The sequence below is a fragment of the Homo sapiens genome, chromosome 13, assembly GCF_000001405.40.
Source record: "Homo sapiens chromosome 13, GRCh38.p14 Primary Assembly".
NCBI classification, from domain to species: Eukaryota; Metazoa; Chordata; class Mammalia; order Primates; family Hominidae; genus Homo; species Homo sapiens.
Genome location: NC_000013.11, coordinates 50,161,099 through 50,181,712, shown reverse-complemented (window position 1 = coordinate 50,181,712; position 20,614 = coordinate 50,161,099). Strand labels below are relative to the sequence as shown.

Below are 20,614 nucleotides of genomic sequence, written 5' to 3'. Positions count from 1 at the left end.
TATACTACAAGGCTACAGTAACCAAAACAGCATGGTACTGGTACCAAAACAGAGATATAGACCAATGGAACAGAACAGAGCTCTCAGAAATAATGCCGCATATCTACAACTATCTGATCTTTGACAAACCTGAGAAAAACAAGCAATGGGGAAAGGATTCCCTATTTAATAAATGGTGCTGGGAAAACTGGCTAGCCATATGTAGAAAGCTGAAACTGGATCCCTTCCTTACACCTTATACAAAAATCAATTCAAGATGGATTAAAGACTTAAACATTAGACCTAAAACCATAAAAACCCTAGAAGAAAACCTAGGCAATACCATTCAGGACATAGGCATGGGCAAGGACTTCATGTCTAAAACACCAAAAGCAATGGCAATAAAAGACAAAATTGACAAATGGGATCTAATTAAACTAAAGAGCTTCTGCACAGCAAAAGAAACTACCATCAGAGTGAACAGGCAACCTACAACATGGGAGAAAATTTTCGCAACCTACTCATCTGACGAAGGGCTAATATCCAGAATCTACAATGAACTCAAACAAATTTACAAGAAAAAAACAAACAACCCCATCAAAAAGTGGGCAAAGGACATGAACAGACACTTCTCAAAAGAAGACATTTATGCAGCCAAAAAACACATGAAAAAATGCTCATCATCACTGGCCATCAGAGAAATGCAAATCAAAACCACAATGAGATACCATCTCACACCAGTTAGAATGGCAATCATTAAAAAGTCAGGAAACAACAGGTGCTGGAGAGGATGTGGAGAAATAGGAACACTTTTACACTGTTGGTGGGACTGTAAACTAGTTCAACCATTGTGGAAGTCAGTGTGGCGATTCCTCAGGGATCTAGAACTAGAAATACCATTTGACCCAGCCATCCCATTACTGTGTATATACCCAAAGGACTATAAATCATGCTGCTATAAAGACACATGCACACGTATGTTTATTGCGGCATTATTCACAATAGCAAAGACTTGGAACCAACCCAAATGTCCAACAATGATAGACTGGATTAAGAAAATGTGGCACATATACACCATGGAATACTATGCAGCCATAAAAAATGATGAGTTCATGTCCTTTGTAGGGACATGGATGAAATTGGAAATCATCATTCTCAGTAAACTATCGCAAGAACAAAAAACCAAACACCGCATATTCTCACTCATAGGTGGGAATTGAACAATGAGATCACATGGACACAGGAAGGGGAATATCACACTCTGGGGACTGTGGTGGGGTGGGGGGAGGGGGGAGGGATAGCATTGGGAGATATACCTAATGCTAGATGACGAGTTAGTGGGTGCAGCGCACCAGCATGGCACATGTATACATATGTAACTAACCTGCACAATGTGCACATGTACCCTAAAACTTAAAGTATAATAAAAAAAAAAAAACCCTAACCAAAAAAAAAAAAAAAGAAGAAAACACCTAAGAAAAGCCACAGTCTGTTTTCCACTGACTTAACAGGTAGTTGTGGCCATATGAAGGCCAGAAATGACAATGGGAACAGACACAAGCCATGTTTTTAAAAACTGAGAAGTTAAAAGAGAGCACTTCCCAGTTTCAGAGTCAAGAGTTCGCAATTCATCCTAACAATGCTAGAACAAGGAGATGTGACATGAGCATACTTTAAACACCTTAGTTTATAAAGTATTAGAAACCCAGCTGGGGCACTGAGCAGCTGCTCTTCTAAGAAAGCTCTTTGGGGCTGGGAATGGTGGCTCATGCCTGTAATCCCAGCATTTTGGGAGGCCAATCTGGGTGGATCACTTGAGGCCAGGAGTTCAAGATCAGCTTGGCCAACATGGCAAAACTCTGTCTCCACTAAAAGTACAAAAATTAGCCAGGTGCAGTGGTTCATGCCTGTAGTCCCAGCTACTCAGGAGGCTGAGGCAGGAGAATCACTTGAACCTGGGAGTTGGAGGTTGCAATGAGCTGAGACGGCACCACTGTGTGAGACTCTGTCTCCAAAAAAAAAAAAAAAAAAAAAAAAAACTCTTTGGCAACCTATGACCATCAGCCCTATCCTAGCATCAAGACCGGCAGAGGCAGGTATCTATGTCTGCATTTGAGAGAAGTTATATAGGAATCTGGTTCAGAAGCATCCTTTGTAGTTCCCATTCTCTGTCCTTCAATTGCCATCAGTTCAGTGCAGCCTTGAAATGTAATCCCCAAACTAGCCCTTGTCTTTTCCCCTGAGTTAGCAAGAAAAAGCAGAGCAACAATGGAACCATGATAAGGAGAGGAAAGGAGATGAAGAATTAAGGTCTGAAGAGGTAAACAGACATGGAGGCTGCACCAGAAATGGCCTAGCATGACTGCCACCCACTGCTGCATTCATGTACTCACTCAACAAATACTGATTGGGTGTCTAATATGTGCACAATATTCTCTTGAGCATTTCTCATGTTAGACTGTCTTAAAGGGGGATTACTTCCAGCACCTTTTTTATTAAGGCTCACTGCCTCATCTTGGGAGTAAGCATGGGCTTTTCTTTATGGAGAGTCATGCTACTTACCCCACCTTCACACAATCAGAGGCTCCTAGCCTGGGAGGTAATGAAAAGAAGAGGAGAATTGAACCACAGCTGTAGGAGAATTGCCTCAGATATGGTCAGCTTCCCAAATCAAAGCAGGGACTGAGTTCATGGCATTTGGTGTCCCCCCTACCCACCCAAAAAACAAACAAACAAACAAACAAAAAATCTTCATCTTCCCTGCAGATCCCTGGAGGGACAGTTTTAGAAGAGAAATCTGAGAACACTTAGGGAAGTCAATGAGGGTAATTTATAGTAATACAAGAGATTTTTGAGTTCAGAGATCGACAACAGCATCTATAAGATTTCAACCCAAGTTGACACATACAGCAAGGGTTGTATGGTGAGACAGATGGAGGATCCATTTCGTCTTCTGTTAGAAGAAAGATGCCTGCTGTCCAAGGGCTATTTCTCAAATAGCCCTTATTCTCCCTGTGGTTGAGCAAATGAAGAAAATGTTGTTCCAAAGCCACCAAATTCATCTTTTCTTTGGTCGAGCAAAAATGTGCCCATTTGTGACAGTGCAGGTTTAGGCAGTTCAAAAACAAGATCACAGGCAAGGAAATCCAGCCGTGATTTTCTGAAAGCCATCCTCAAGACTGAAGCTAGGGTCTGTCTTGGCTGTCCTTGACATTTTATTTGTCTATCTTTCTTTTTTGTCAAAAACTGTATCTATTTTTTTAAAGTAATAGCCCCAACAAGATAATGACCTGATGTAACTGTACCTACATGAGACAATGCTGAGAGCAGAAAATCCAAGAGTACCCAGACCAGGGCTCCAAGCAGAGTGTCCTGCTGAAAGCAGACGATAATGCCTCTCTCATCTCAGGTAATGTTTTGTTCCAAAAACACTCCACTCAAGTAGTCTTGTTATTTTATTTTATTTTTTTTTTAATTTTTTTTTTTTGAGACAGGATCTTGCTCTGTTGCTCAGGCTGGAGTACAGTGGCACGATCATAGCTCACTGCAGCCTCGACCTCCCAGGCTCAAGTGATCCTCCCACCTCAGCCTCCCAAGTAGCTTGGACTACAGGTACAGGCATGCGCCACGACGCCCTGCTAATTTTTTAATTTTTTGTAGAGACGGGGTTTCACCATGTTGCCAAGGCTGGTCTTGAACTCCTGACCTCAAGTAATCCTCCCACCTTGATCTCCCAAAGTGCTGGGATTACAGGCGTGAGCCACCACCCCCGGCCTTGTCTGGTTATTTGTCTCATTAAATGAAGCACTAAATCATGGTAAAACCATAAAGCACAGTGCAAAATAACTTCTCATTATTATTATTCCATTGCCTTGAGTCTGATTTGGAAAAATCATTTTAATGGTACGAACACTGAGAAACAGAACTGCCAATTACCTTACTCTAACCCATAGTTTATTAGTTATGTGCTTATAGCAGAGGAAAAAGTTATGTACAGACCCGTTTAAGAGCCTAAAATACAAAGTTTGAGGTGAAGGGGAAGAGGAAGATTTGGAATAAAAGAGGACAGACTTCCAATCCCTTCTATGTGGATTTCCAGGGAAGTGACAAGCGGAATACAAAAACAGGGAAAAGCTTTTATCAGTACTGGAAACTAGAGAGGGCATATACACTGTGAAAAATGTTGAGGAATTTCTGGATGCACTGCAGAGGCACAGAGCCCTGACCCCACCTCCTACCCCCAACACACAATTCCTTCCCACACACATATACATACAGAAGTCAGTGGAAGAGACCCTGATAGAAGGCCACTAGCACTTCCTTACATGGAAGGTGGGTGCAGACCAAGGGGTGGGCAGTCACATGATGTCCACCTAGAGACTTCCCTTGGAAGGGGGGCCGCATGGTCATTTAGGCAGAGGAGTAGAGTTCCTGGCAGAGATGGTCCGTCTGCCCCAAAATAAAGTTGCCAACGATGTCAGTCTAAAACTGCTTCTTCACTCTCTGCACCCCCATTCCCACAGGTTCTGGACTTCTGATGAAGTGATGCAAATTTACATCAAATGTAAATATTCCCTGTTCTTGTCATTTGAACCTGAAGGATTTGTGCAGTTCCCCATATCAATTTCTGCTAGATCTCACCTCAACTCCTACTTTATTACAAGATAGTAAGCAATAACACAGCTTTGTCTATAAGGATGAACAAATACAGTAAAAGCCTGTATAGCCAACCTGCACTAAATGACTATACATTTAACCAGTGCTCCCTATGTCCTCAGGGAAACATACTGGCTGATACCAGGCATGCTCAGTGCTCCTGGATCGCAGCCTCCTCCCTCGTAAGCCTGTAGGCTTCTACTCCCAGCAATTGCATGGTTCGCTTACCAACAGGCAATTGATAGAAAAGTTGTGCCACTTGTATTTGTTATTATAATCATATTTAATTAAATATGTTGTCTGATGAATGTGACAATAAAAATAGTTACATTAAAAATTAGGTTGAATCCTTTTAAAGAATCAATACAGATATGTTGCTAAGATAATCTGCTCTTAAACTGTATATGACAAGTGTTAATGGCAGGGAAAAATAGTAAAAATACACCAGGATTCTTTACTCATTGTATCACAGTGTCTTTAAGATCTTGCTCCTGTCTAAAGAAACTGAAACTGGAAATCATAGGTAATTCATAATGAGTATGGTTTATGAAAGAGAGATGATTTGAATAATTAGTGGACCCATTTTGGAAGAAAATGTCTTGATCCTAAAGGATTGGTTAATAGAATGCACATTGGAGTTTTATTTTAAAAGATGTGTCTATATTGTTTTTATGATTCTACACCTTAACCAGCTTCTTTAGATTAACCAAGCAACTACTGATTCTGAGCACAAGATGTAAGAAGGCTACTCCCAAGAAGCCTACTCACAAGAAGGCTACTCCCAAAAACAAATCAACAGAGCTATTAAAAGAGATTATGGTTTGGCTGGGCACAGTGGCTCATGCCTGTAATCCCAGCATTTTGGGAGGCCAAGGCAGGTGGATCACTTGAGGTCAGGAGTTCCAGACCAGCCTGGCCAACATGATAAAACCCCATTTCTACTAAAAATACAAAAACTAGTTGGGTGTGGTGGCACATGCCTGTAATCCCAGCTTCTTGGGAGGCTGAGGCGCTGCAATCGCTTAAACCTGGGAGGCAGAAGCTGTAATGAGCCCAGATCGTGTGACTGCACTCCAGCTGGGCAACAAAGCAAGACTCCATCTCAAAAAAAGATATTATGGTTCAAACAGAGAGGATAGACCTGAAAAAAATAGTAGAAAATGCTTCCCTTTGATTTCCTACAAGGGAGAGAAGAAATTTTAAAATGTTTGGAAACTAATTTGCCAAATGATCATCTTCTTACTGACTAACTCAACGAATGAACAATTCACTGAGCAATCATCTGGCAAATCCTTTACACAGGGTTTAGAGCAATTTCTCATAGCCATTGCACCAGGGCACAGGAAGGTGCAGAAGCAGGAGCAATAGGGACAGAGGCAAAAGTAATTAAGACAAAAAACAGTGCTTTAAAAAATAAACAAACAAATGGAAAACACTTGACCATCCCGTAGAAAATGTTGACCATTCTAAAAATTCTCAGAGTCTGGAATGTGAAAAACAGGCAAAGTTCATATTAAACAGCAGTTGGCCAATGCATGCCCAGGAAGAGAACAGCAGTGATGACAGGGACAAAGTAAAAAATATAAACCTCAATTTTTCAGCAAAATCATTATTTGGTCAAGTGATTTTTGCAGAATTAGCTTTGGTGAGCTGGTCATTTACCAAATGGTCTTTGGTATATTCATGTTGGGTGAAGTAGCCAGCTTCCAAGGTAAAAAGGAGAGCCTTCTGGCTTGAGCGAAGGAATCACTTAACTCCAAAGTCAGTTCCATAGGGTAAGGGACAATATCTATTTGGTTTACTCTGCACTTACCCCAAGGCCCAACACATACCAGACACTCAAAAACTATGTTTCATGAATAAATGTTGAAGACTAATAATTAACAGAAAGGTTTTATACATAGGTCAGGGCCCAGAGAGGCAAGAGCCTTGAGTGTTATGCTGTGCATGCTGCGACTTACCCTATCTGTAAAAAGGAACTCATTGAAGGCTTCTGAGCAGCAAAGTAACATGACTGAAAGAAGTGGCAGGAAGAGTAACCTGTTTTTAATTAGCAGAATACACTTAAAGAGAAGAAACTGCAACCCAAATGTCTCTCAGTGGATGAATGAATAAACAAAATGTGGCATAGACATATAATGGAATATTATTCAGCCTTAAAAAGGAAGGAAATTCTGACACATGCTACAACATAGATGAACTTTGAGGACATTATGCAAAGTGAAACAAGCCAGCCACAAAAGGACCTATATTGTATACTTCCACTTATATGAGGTACTTTGAGTAGTTAAATTCATAGAGATAGAAAGTAGAATAGTGGCTGCCAGAAGCTGGGAGGAGGGGAAATAGGTAATTAGTGTTTAATGGGTACAGAGTTTCTGTTTAGGAAGATGAAACATTTCTCGAGATGGATGATGGTGATGGTTGCAGAACAATGGGAATATACTTAGTGCCACTGAACTGTGCACTTCAAAATGGTTAAAATGGTCAATTTTATGTTATGTGTATTCTACCACAATACAAATAATCTGGAAGTCAAAGAGAACATGGCTAGATTGGAAAATTGCATTTTTCTATATGACCAGAGCAAACAGTTTTAAGGGTACAAGAGTTGAGTTAGAGTGATCATCAGCAAGTCATGAAGGGCCCTAGCAACTCTGATTAAGGGTGTGGACTTGGTACTGATATTTGAGTAATTCTAACTAAAATGTTCCTACTCACTAATAGGGGGTAAAAGAGGAGAAAACGCTAATAGGATGATTCAAGAAGCTATGTCATTCATGCGTGGTCTAATCCAGGGTCTTGGTAATAGAAACAGAAAGGAAGAAAAGAATGGTTATCATAGGCATCACAAAGGAAGTATAGATACTATTTTGATTGATTGGATCGGGGAAGGGGTTGAGAACAAGGAAACATCAAAGTTTTTCACCTGGGGAACTGGAAAATAAATGGTAACATTAAAAGAAAAGGTATGGCCTTAAAGGAAGATGTGGTTTATAGGTAAAAGCGATGATTTCCCTATTTGACATGTTACATAGGAGGTGACAATGGAAAATCAAAACAGAGAAGTCTAGTAAGCAGCTGGAGATGTCAGAAAATGATGAACAAAGTATAACTAGTTCAAACTACCAAAGGTAGGCTGAGGACAGACCCCTTACCATATAGCAGCTGGTAAATTAATAATAGTCTTCAAATATGGTGGTGAACAAACTGTCTTCATTGAAAATGACTGATTACTAAGAAAGTTGTTGAAAAGGTAATAAAATAACACTACGTACATCCTTCTGCCTAAAATTAGGCCCAGTTTTATTTAGATGAAGTACAATGTCCTCTATATCTCATGGACAATGTCCTGGAATCACATCGCTTACTGAAATACTTTTTGAAATATATGTCCTCGGATGGAGAAGTGGAATCAAAAGAGAAAACTTCAGAATCTATGCTATCAACTTTTCTTTTTTTTTATCCTCAAATGAGTTATGTTTGCCTCGCACTAATAACTTTTATTTCACTCAAATTAGAGCAATAATCTTCCACACATAAGTATCTTCCCTGCCCAATAATTCAAAGAAAAAAATCCAAAATGATTAGTAAAGAAAAATATAAGAATTAACAGACCCTTTAAATTTGTTTTAAATATTTTGAAGATTTAAAAAGTGTTTAAAGTTTGTAATTCCTAGTAGGAAAACATTATCTGAATGAATACCCTAATGGCAAACCACTGTAAAATGCTTCAGCTGCATTTGGGGGAGAGGGGTAGGGATTATCTTCAAAGCACCCCAGCTCTCTTGATGAGAAGGTCAGAGGTACATTGGTTTGTATTATTGCGACATCCATAATGTGATCTAGGTTGCTTTTCCTTCAGCAAGGGCTTTATTTATCAGAAGGGCGTTATGCTTGACCTCCAAATTTGGCTGACAATTTACTGATGAGATTCATAACCTTTGGGTTGCTCTGGTACTTTGACATATTTGCTGGGTTCTGAGCCACATCCTGGAAGGCCACCATAACTTCTGGATCCTGCATGGCTGCAAGAACCTCTGGATCACTAAGAATTTCATTGAGTCCAGGCATTCCGGCCATTCCAGGTATGCCCCCTCCCATTCCAGCCATTCCTCCAGGAAAATTACCAGGCATTCCCCCAGGAAAGCCACCTGGAAAAGAGCCATACTGAGCTCCTGACTGTCATCTGGCTTCTTCCTCCCTCTGGGCTCTCTCATGCTCTTTTCGAGCCTTCTTAACTCGTTCTATTCTTTCTTTGATCTCTCACTCTTCACGTTTTCGCTCATACTTTCTCTGATGTTCTGCAATTTTCTGTGCCCTAGGTTGAACTTCTTTCAGCATTGCACTAGCATCTTCATCATAATCGAATTTACAGGCAAGGGCAAGATCATGGGCTGCTTCTTCCCAGTGGCCTAGAAGTCTGTGTGCTTTCCCCCGCCTCTTGTAAGGCTGAGCTGAATCAGGATTTATTTCAATGGCTCTGTCACAGTCTCGGATGGCTGCATTTGGCTTCTGTAATTTGACGAAGACACTGGCCCTCTTGGCATACAAAATGGCCAAGCGAGGATTCAGCTTGATGGCATCTGTGAATAAGTCAATGGCTTTCTGGAGTTCACCATCATTTAGGGCTTCAATAGCAGCCACTTTTTTATCATTTGCCTGATCCATCACCTCCTCTGTTATCTCCGCATTTTCATCTCCCATTTCTTGAGGAGCATCAGTGTCTGGTTCAATCACACCTTCTTTATCAATTTCTAGATCACTTTCCTCACTTGATGGTTCGTCTGCCTTTAAGTCTTCCTCCACCTTACTATCAGGTTTTTCTTCCTTGGTATTTTCTTCTGATTTAGCTTTCTGAGTAGCAGTACCTCCCATGCTCTCCACCCACTCCCTCAGGAAGCGCATTTCCTGGGTGTGCAGAATGCTTGGATCCTTCTTACACATTTTCACAAAGGCCCGAAGCTCGTTCACTTTGCGGGGGTCCATGGTAGGGAGATGGTGGGCGAAGCCGGGGGGCTGCGGCCCGGTTCCAGGCCCAGGCGCTGGCTCGGCGTGACAGCGCAGAAGGGGGCGGCTGCCTATGCTATCAACTTTTCAAGCCAGGTTTCTCAATCCAGTTTTCTGAAATATTCAACCTGAGGTTGCCTAGTCTAGTATCAATATGCATTCATTCTAACAATATAATGTACAAAGGACTGTAAATACCCTATCCTTTGGTGATACTGTCATTCAACAAACATGTACTAAGAGCTCACTACAGATCCAGAGGCAGAATTAAGAGTGCCAGGAATGCAAAGAGGAATGCCACATATCCCATGCCTTAGAAAACCTCACAGTCTAGAGGGGAAAACAGGGTGAATGAAGCACTGACCCTGACCGAGCACACTTAGAACCTGATCCAGGTTCCTGGAAAAGTCTCCTAATACAAATGCTCACTTATAATGTTTACCTTAGTTTTTAGAAAGATTTGATCATATTAGTCGCTTGATTATAGAAAACCATTTTTTTGTTTTGTTTTTTCATTTTCTTTTGTTTTGAGATGGAGTCTCACTCTGTCTCCCAGGCTGGAGTGCAGTGGCGCGATCTCGGCTCACTGCAACCTCCGCCTCCCGGGTTCAAGCGATTCTCCTGCCTCAGCCTCCCGAGTAGCTGGGACTGCAGGCACGCATCACCACCCCCAGCTAATTTTTGTATTTTTAGTAGAGATGGGGTTTCACCATGTTGGCCAGGATGGTCTCCATCTCTTCACCTCGTGATCTGCCCGCCTCGGCCTCCCAAAGTGCTGGGATTATAGGCATGAGCCACCGCGCCCGGCCGATTATAGTAAACTGTTAAATCCAATTGTTACATCCTTGGATACATATGTAATATGTAATTATTATAATTATTACTTTAGATTATAGCGAGAGATAGGCAGTTAGCAAGAAAGGAAGGAATGAGCTATCAAGTTACCAAATTATTTTGAAGTTCCTCCCTACTTGAATTTTTAAAACTTTTTCTTTGATTAACCCACAATCAAAAACACTACTCAGTCCCTCCAGCTTTTGCAACTTTTACTGTCTATGTTCTTCAATCCAGCATGTAAAAAAGAAAGATTGATTCATTCTATGAACTAATTATTTCATTAATGTATCCTCAGATATCATGTCGGCTCCTCGAGGATAAGAATCACATCTTACTTTTCTTTTGTGACTCCTATGAGCCTAGAATGGTTCTTATAAATATTTACTTAATCTAATTAAAATAAATTATGTGCTTTAAAATCCTATTACATCATACTGTAGAACACTGCCAAATCAGTAATTAAACATGCCATCCTTGCTTAGTGCCAAATGATTTTTTCATTTTTTGTTGTTTTTTAATATCCAAAGTGTTACTTTTCTTTCTCACAGCTAGTTCCTACAACTCTGGAATTTACAGTATTTTCATATTTCCATAATGACACCTGCTGGTAGGAGAAGAATGGATGAACTGCAGGGATTTTATTCAACTACTTATAACCAGCCATTGTCCAGTCTGAAACAACTAATGTTCCTGCATATACAAAGAGTAAATCTCAATGACTCCAAATACCCAAGTACTAAAAATTTGAAAGAATAAGACAAGTGCTGTTTCAGTACTATTTTCCAACCAGAATTAAAATTTATTCCCATAATCTCTGTCCAAAACAAAATTGCTGCAATTAAGAGTAGTTATTAACAAAGGCCTCAAAATTATCAATTCAATTCTGTTAAATATTTTACTCCATTTGTAAATTGGCATTTAAATATGACTATTAAAGAGATTATCATTATAAGGAATAAGTTCTAGTATTTGATACTACAGTAGGGAAATTATAGTTAATGATAATTTATTGTATATTTCAAAATAACTAGAAGAGAAGAATTGCAATGTTCCCAACACAAAGAAAAAATAAATGTTTGAGGTGACAGATACCCCAATTACCCTGATTTGATCATTACACATTGTATACACATATCAAAAATCATATGTACCCCAAAAACACAACTATTAAAAATGAATAAGAAAATTTTAAAACAGATTATCATTCTCTGAAACTTTTTCTGTTCTTTCATATAATTAATTACTAGATCAAGGTTTAAGCGGACCAGAAGACAATGGATGGGACATTTGCTTCAGTGGTAACCTGCATATCATCTTGCCCTTGAGGAGCAAGTGAGGAGAAGCAGCAAGGCCAGCCACTCTGGAAACACTGCTGGATGCTGACTATGCCAGGTCTCCCGCAATACCCAAATAAGAGATGTGGCTGCTGGGTTCACCTGTCCTACACTGCAAGCTTCAAGAGGGATATGATGAGGCCGGGTACAGTGGCTCACAACTGTAATCCCAGCAGTTTGGGAGGCTGAGGGAGGAGGATTGCTTGAGTCCAGGAGTTCAAGATCAGCCTAGGCAACATAGTAAGACCCCAAGTCTACAAAAACATAAAACTGAAAAATTAGCCCGGTGGTAGTGCACAGCTGTAGTCCCAGTTACTCAGGAGGTACTGAGGTGGGAAGATCAGCTGAGCCCAGGAGGTCAAGGATAAGGCTGCAGTGAGCCACGATCACACCACTGCACTCCAGCTTGGGTGACAGAGTAAGACACTGTCCCAAAGAAAAAAAAAAAGAGGGAAAGGACTATGCATCCTCAGTGCTAGCACACTACCTGACACCTGACACAGAGTAAGCACCAATGAGTATTTTTAAACAAAGCGTGTGTGTAGGTAGGGACAGGGCTGGGGTTGGAGAGAAGGGTGTCAACAGATTTGATCCTGGGTAGACCTTGCCCAGACACCAAAATGTTAACCAGATTAGGTGGGTTCATTCTGACAATACCTGAGTGAGCTTATTTGACTCAATAGTTTAGAAAGCAGGCAAATTAACCAGATGGCCCCCAAATAAAATATGGATAATCTATATGCATAAAGGTTTTGTATACAGTTAATAGGTAAATGTATAACTCATCATGACACATATTACACAGACTTTTTCTTATTTCACTCACAATCCCTCTTCTGATGAGAAATCAGTCATGTGTGCTGGTGACAGGCGTCTTCAAACAATGTTTCTTCCTAACTGCCTGCAGGATAACGTCCAGACAGGCACTCACTCAGCTGACAGTTGACTTGTGGCTGTTTTGTCTTTGCAAGTATGCTAACTTCTCAGACTTCCCTGGACTTGCTTTGGTTTGACTTCTTTCACTCAGAGGAATCACTTGTGAGCAAAGTGTGAAACAGACTGCTTCTGATTCCCCATTTCAAAATGACTCCTATTCCTCCACAACAGCAGGCTAAGGGACATAATTATCAGGCTATTCATCAAAAGCTGCAATTTTCTTTTTCTTTTTTCTTTCTCTTTTTTTTTTTTTTTTTTTTGAGATGATGTCTCACTCTGTCACCCAGGCTGGAGTACAGTGGCGCAATCTCGGCTCACTGCAACTTCTGCCTCCTGGGTTCAAGCAATTCTCCTGCCTCAGCCTCCCAAGTAGCTGGGATTACAGGTGCCTGCCACCACGTGTGGCTAATTTTTGTATTTTTAGTAGAGACGGGGTTTCACCATGTTGGCCAGGCTGGTCTCGAACTCTTGACTTCAGGTGATCCATCCGCCTCGGCCTCCCAAACTGCTGGGATTACAGCTGTGAGCCACCGCGCCCAGCAAAAAGCTGCAATTTTGTTTCAAAAAGGAAAATCCTTTGGGCACTTTAAAAGGCTTTTTTTACTCCTACTGAATGTAGACTGTAAATCAATTCAATAAATGCTACAAACACCTACTATGTACTAGCCATGGCGGGCACTGAAAAAAGTAGTCTTGTGTCTTGTCCTTAAAGAAAAGAGTTCATAGTCCAGTATCATAGGTATTAACCCAGTCTGCTATGATGACTAAATCATACCCTGACAGCAAGTCAGTATTTAGCTAACCTGGGGTTCCCGTCCCATCCCCACCTCATAGAGGCTATCGCTGGTACATATAGCCAAAGCACACATATTGGAAAGAATGTGCTGCTCCAGGCTCATTAGGACACCCGTGAATGCCAAATCCTAGTTCCCAGACTCCTACATTTCAAGGGAATCCAGCACCTGGCCCAGGGCTTTGTTCATCAATATTTTTGATTGAAGAATGAAGCCATGTCAAAAAACTGCAGTGATTCAGAATAATGTAATCCTTGGGTCATACCAAATGAGTGTGTGTGTGTGTGTGTGTGTGTGTAGTGGCAGACACACTAAATTGGAATACTTTCAGCCCAATACTCTACACAGCTGATGAAGGCACTGCATACTTTGTTTTACATCTAGAGAAAACACCATTGTGATTCATTTTGTCTCGGGTTTATTAAAGACAAGAATCCCAGGGGAAACCCCAACTCTCTACCTACTACCCTCAGATCAAAATTCATTTTGAAAGGACAACGCATTTCCTCACCTGGGTCCCTGACCTAAGATAAATCTGTAAACCATCAGAGAGAGCTCAAGTGAAAAAAGGAAATTATATTTATTGAGTGTTTATCACATGCCAAGAAGTACACTGAGGGTTCCTTTAAGTCTCAACAATTCTGTGATGGATCAACATCCAAACTTGACAGCTGAGGACACCAAAATTCACAGAGGCTAAGAAACAAGCTGAAGTTACACAGCTCCTAGTGGTAGAATCAAGGCTGCTTCTTCCACTACAGCATGTTGCTTCCTCATCTCACAGGTACTGTCAGACTGCTATGAATATGTCCACAACATTGGTATGAAACAGGGCAAGTCCAGGCTTTATGAAACCTAAAGCATATGCAAATTTTGTGTCCCTCTTTAAGAAAAAATACATAAAATTAGATACAAATAATGAACATTTATTGAGAATGAGTACAGAAATCACACAACTTACAAACTTTTTTAAAGCTGGCAAATACCACAAATATTTTCTTTCAACTTATACTTATGGCATCCTTTTTGTTTCCTCTATCTCTTTCTTTCTTTTTTCTTTTTTTATTATTATACTTTAAGTTCTAGGATACATGTGCACAATGTGCAGGTTTGTTACATAGGTATACATGTGCCATGGTGGTTTGCCACACCCATCAACTCATCATTGACATTAGGTATTTCTCCTAATGCTATCTCTCCCCCAGCCCCCCACCCCCTAACAGGCCCCAATGTGTGTTGTTCCCCACCCTGTGTCCAAGTGTTCTCATTGTTCAGTTCCCACCTATGAGTGAGAACATGCAGTGTTTGGTTTTCTGTCTTTGTGATAGTTTGCTGAGAATGATGGTTTCCAGCTTCATCCATGTCCCTATAAAGGACATGAACTCATCCTTTTTACGGCTGCATAGTATTCCATGGTGTATATGTGCCACATTTTCTTAATCCAGTCTATCATTGATGGACATTTGGGTTGGTTCCAAGTCTTTGCTATTGTGAATAGTGCCACATTAAACAAACGTGTGCATGTGTCTTTATAGCAGCATGATTTATAATCCTTTGGGTATATACCCAGTAATGGGATTGCTGGGTCAAATGGTATTTCTAGTTCTAGATCCTTGAGGAAATGCCACACTGTCATCCATAATGGTTGAACTAGTTTACACCCCCACCAACAGTGTAAAAACGTTCCTATTTCTCCACAACCTCTCCAGCATCTGTTGTTTCCTGACTTTTTAATGATCGCCATTGTAATTGGCATGAGATGGTATCTCATTGTGGTTTTGATTTGCATTTCTCTGATGACCAGTGATGATGAGCATTTTTTCATATGTCTGTTGGCTGCATAAATGTCTTCTTTTGAGAAGTGTCTGTTCATAACCTTTGCCCACTTTTTGATGGGGTTGTTTGTTTTTTTCTTGTAAATTTGTTTAAATTCTTTGTAGATTCTGGATATTAGCCCTTTGTCAGATGGGTAGATTGCAAAAATTTTCTCCCAATCTGTAAGTTGCCTGTTCACTCTGATGGTAGTTTCTTTTGCTGTGCAGAAGCTCTTTAGTTTAATTAGATCCCATTTGTCTATTTTGGCTTTTGTTGCCATTGCTTTTGGTGTTTTAGTCATGAAGTCTTTGCCCATGCCTATGTCCTGAATGGTATTGCCTAGGTTTTCTTCTAGGGTTTTTATGATTTTAGGTCTTACATTTAAGTCTTTAATCCATCTTGAGTTAATTTTCATATAAGGTGTAAGGAAGGGATCCAGTTTCAGCTTTCTACATATGGCTAGCCAGTTTTCCCAGCACCATTTATTAAATAGGGAATCCTTTCCCCATTTCTTGTTTTTGTCAGGTTTATCAAAGATCAGATGGTTGTAGATGTGTGGTATTATTTCTGAGGCCTCTGTTCTGTTCCATTGGTCTATACTCTGTTTTGGTACCAGTACCATGCTGTTTTGGTTACTGTAGGCTTGCAGTATAGTTTGAAGTCAGGTAGCATGATGCCTCCAGCTTTGTTCTTTTTGCTTAGGATTGTCTTGGCTATGCGGGCTCTTTTTTGGTTCCATATGAACTTTAAAGTAGTTTTTCCAATTCTGTGAAGAAAGTCATTGGTAGCTTGATGGGGATGGCATTGAATCTATAAATTACTTTGGGCAGTATGGCCATTTTCATGATACTGATTCTTCCTACCCATGAGCATGGAATGTTCTTCCATTTGTTTGTGTCCTCTTTTATTTCGTTGAGCAGCGGTTTGTAGTTCTCCTTGACGAGGTCCTTCACATACCTTGTAAGTTGGATTCCTAGGTATTTTATTCTCTTTGTAGTGATTGTTACACTATGGCTTTCAACAGGAATATGTCCTTCCTGTCATATCTGTTTTGTTTTCTTTTTATCTTTTTTTTTTTTTTTTTTCTGAGACAGGGTCTCACTCTGTCACCCAGGCTGGAGTGCAGTGGCGCAATCTTGGCTCACTGCAACCTCCGCCTCCCAAGTTCAAGCAAATCTCCTACCTCAGCCTCCCAAGTAGCTGGTATTACAGGCGCCCACCACCACACCCAGCTAATTTTTGTATTTTTAGTAGAGACAGCGTTTCACCATGTTGACCAGTCTGGTCTCAAACTCCTGACCTCAGGTTATCCACCTGCTTCGGCTACCCAAAGTGCTGAGATTACAGCTGTGAGCCACCGTGCCCAGCTATTTTTGTTTTTTTATAGATTCAGGAGGTACATGTACAGGTTTGTTACTTGGGTATATTGTGTGATGCTGGGGTTTGGGCTTCTAATGAACCCATTACCCAAATCATATCTGAATTTTGATATGAACAGTAATTCTGAAAAAAAAATACACAATTAACCTGAAATTAAGGCATATACGAGAACAATTCAAACGTTCCTACACTGCACTAAGCTACATAAGAGAAATTCATTGAATTCCTCTTATACTATATACCGTGACTTATTGATGAAAATGTGTGACAGTTTGTCATGGAATGCTTGTTTCTCAGAGCATGTCTCTTGCTTTAGTGGCAATTTTGCACACTTTCCTCTGGAACCATCAGGCTGTCTCAGGACAAGATGCAACAGATGCAATAAGATACATATATGAGATCCAGAATAGGAGGCAGAAATCATGTGTCTTCTCACACAGACATTCTTGCTCCATGCCTTCAGGCTCGTGCCCTACAAACATAGGGATTCTGACAAAATCAATTCCACACTATTCTCAACAAAAAAGAAAATTAAAAGTATGTATATACACACACAAATACACACACATAGTGAGTTTATAATTGTATACTCAGTATCACTGCATATATTCCAAACAGGAGAGAATATATTTGGCTGGCATCAATTCTTCTGCTCACAATTTTATGTCTACAGAGGTAAGAATTTCCTACATTTGAGCTTCTCAAACCTTGTTTCCAGCCTCATTTTTCTCCACTACCCCATATTTCTAGGATGAGTGCCATAGGACTGGCTCCTAGCCTTAGGACCTATGGCCTTCACCTTTGCTCCCCATCCATGCTGGTGAGCTGTCCAATGGGTGGTAAGAATATTCCTACAAGCCATTCCTCACCCAGATGACTATGAAAGGGACTGCAAACTACATTAAAATATCACACTAAAATACATGTATCCCCAATTCAACTTCCTCTAGCCAGATCCAAAACGTGCCCATCACTCAGATACTATCTGACAGGAGGCGAATGATGACGGTGAGGAAGTCAGAATGGAAAAAGAAAGTGATCTTCAGTGACAGCACTTAACACATCTTGGTTTTGCAAAATTTAGAAATACACATGACCATGTGAACATACTGCTAGCCTTCGTTATATTGCCCGAGACTGGCTGCTGGTATGTAGTAGATCATATTATAGGAAAACAGAGTTGGAAGAGAAATAATCCAAGGGCTGAGAGGACATTTGATGGGTCTAATAGGGTCTCTATATATCAAAGACTCGGTTCAAAGCAGACACTGTGTAAGGGAAGAAAAGTTCTTCTTAAAGAGTAAATGTCGTTCTTAAAGAGTAAAAGTAAATGTTAAAGGGTTAAAATTGGCCAGACGCGGTGGCTCACACCTGTAATCCTAGCACTTTGGGAGGCCGAGGCAGGTGGATCACCTGAGGTTAGGAGTTCAAGACCAGCCTGGCCAACATAGCGAAAACCCGTCTCTACCAACAATACAAAAATTAGCCAGGTATGGTGGCAGGCACCTATAATCCTAGCTACTTGGGAGGCTGAGGCAGTAGAATTGCTTGAACCCAGGGGACAGAGGTTGCAGTGAGCTGAAATCACGCCACTTCACTCCAGCCTGGGTGAAAGAGTGTAACTCTGTCTCAAAAAAAAAAAAAAAAAAAAGAGTTGAAATCACCTATGTCTCAATAATTTTAACAAACTACAGTAAACCAACTGAGAATCTCCTACAAATGTGACCTCCACAATCCACTCTAAAAGAAACCAACACAGCACAGTTCAATAATTAAGATCAGCCTTTTGGCCTTTTTTCCCCTCATGTTGGTAGTTTCCTATCTTGTACACATGCTTATAAAGGGGCACTTTGTGGAGAAGCTAGCAATACTATTGTCCCATATATTATTTTTAAGAGCCTAAAATAGACTGCAAGGTTATTGTTGTCTGCCCATCCCCCCTTTGTCAGCTCATCAAAGCTTAAATGTCTAGTTTCAGGAAAGGCAAATTGGTTTTCATCAAGGCCTGAAAAAACAAATATGATCCCTCACAAAAAGACAGTGTGAGGTCCCTGTATTGTATTGGATATAGCCTGGAGAGTCGACCCTTCAAAGGAAAATATCCATTAATTTCAGCTCCAAAGGACACACGAATTGACCCTACAGGATTTTCAGCCTTCATTTACATGCCTTATACAAACAACTGCCTCTTTCCCCTCCTGTTGCTACCTGAATTGGGTAGGATGGGCCAGGAGCTTGAGAATGCCTCTCTGTCCAGATACAGATACTCTGCAAACAAATCCTACAATCTTGCAACCCAAGAAAGAATCTCTCTCCTAATGTCTAAACATAAATGTACAACACAAGCTTTTCTAACATCTGTGAAGTTGAAAACAAACAAAAAATACTTGCCATGCTTGCTTAAGACTCTACACCAAAATCACATCACAAATTCTCTTGCCATACACTGGTTCACCAAAAAAGGAAACTAACAATATTTAGTTCCTGGCTACTATGTGCCAAGAACTTTCATATATGCTTCATGCATACCCTTTTGAGGTAAATACTATTATCTATATTTTAAAGATAAGGAAACTGAGGCTCACAGAGATGAAGACATTTTTCCCAAGATCTTGCAGCTGTGAAGGGGCAGGGGTGGTATTCAAACAGAAGACATGACAGCTTTTGAAGTGTACCTACAGCATAAGGTGGGAAGGCCATGGACTTTGGGTTTAGCTCACGGCTTGTACACGACAGCAGTATGATTTGAGACAGATGGCTGGGCCCCTTTCCTCATCCTAAGGATAAGAGTAACACTCACCTCAGAGGTATTGCAACAGCTGAATGAGTCGTGGATGTAAAAGGCTAGCAGTTAAAAGATGTTCAAGAATTTGTATTACTTTCCCTTCCTCTCAAGCTCCTTGGAAGCAGAGGCCATACCTTTTTTTTTTTTTTCCGCACACCCAGCCCTTAGCAAATATCTGTGAAATAAACTCTGCCGTGTCCAGTGTTGGTGACAGCTGATGTGGTGTTTTCAAAGCAATACTAGCAACATTATGCCCGCAACATTAAAATTCTCATTTCAACAGATTGCTTGCATGAAATATCCCAAATGACAATGCAAACAGAGTAGGAAATAGGTGGGAAAAGAACTTTAAAATGTATTAAACCATCGCTTCCAGCATCTCTTTTATTTAAAAAAAAAAAAAGAAAAGAAAAGAATTTAAGCCAATGGAATGTAGGTGAAACAGTAATTAAGTTACCGAACAAACATTTTAAGCAGCTTCATGACCCTGCAAGAGGCATGAGTGGCTAGTGGGCCAGGATTACATCTGACCCAGTAAGGTGGTCCAATGGGGCCAGACTTCTAGGCTTCCAGGCCAGCTTCTAGCACACTAACCCAAGCATCAAAATGCTGGAGCCAGCCCCCAGCCTTAAATGAAGGCAACACTAATATAAGAAATAGGGTTCGGCTTACAGATATATGTTTTGGCAAGAATTGGTCCACTTCTCTTCATTTCCACTTCAACCATCCTAGTCTAAGCCACCATTATCTGTAGCCTGGAATTCTGCAATAGCTTCTCTAACTGATCTCCTGCTCCTGACCTTGACCTCTATCATCCATTCTCATACTGCAGCCAGAGATAGCTTTTAAAAACACAAATCAGACCATGTCAGTCCCCTGGCCTCCCACAGTTCTTAGAATCAAAACCAAATTCTTCATTATGGTCTGGAAGGCCTAACGGAATCTGGCCTCTGCTTATCTCTTTATTTAGAGAATAAATGAGCAAATGAATGCATGAGAGTGATACAGCAATGCTCCACCTATCTTGGATGAAGCCCAGAATGTCTTGCATAAGAGGGGTGACTGCTACTGCTGTCATTTAACCTTTT

At 40.6% G+C, this 20,614-nt stretch overlaps 1 long non-coding RNA gene and 1 pseudogene across 2 annotated transcripts in view; both read right to left on the bottom strand.

Annotated features, from left to right (window-relative positions):
* Nucleotides 1-20,614, bottom strand: part of DLEU1 (deleted in lymphocytic leukemia 1) — a 446,475-nt gene that overhangs the window by 346,931 nt on the left and 78,930 nt on the right. The window lies entirely within an intron of this gene.
* ST13P4 (ST13, Hsp70 interacting protein pseudogene 4) lies at nt 8,097-9,695 on the bottom strand (annotated as a pseudogene). The gene has a single exon (NR_002183.1). The product of NR_002183.1 is annotated as an ST13, Hsp70 interacting protein pseudogene 4 (transcript).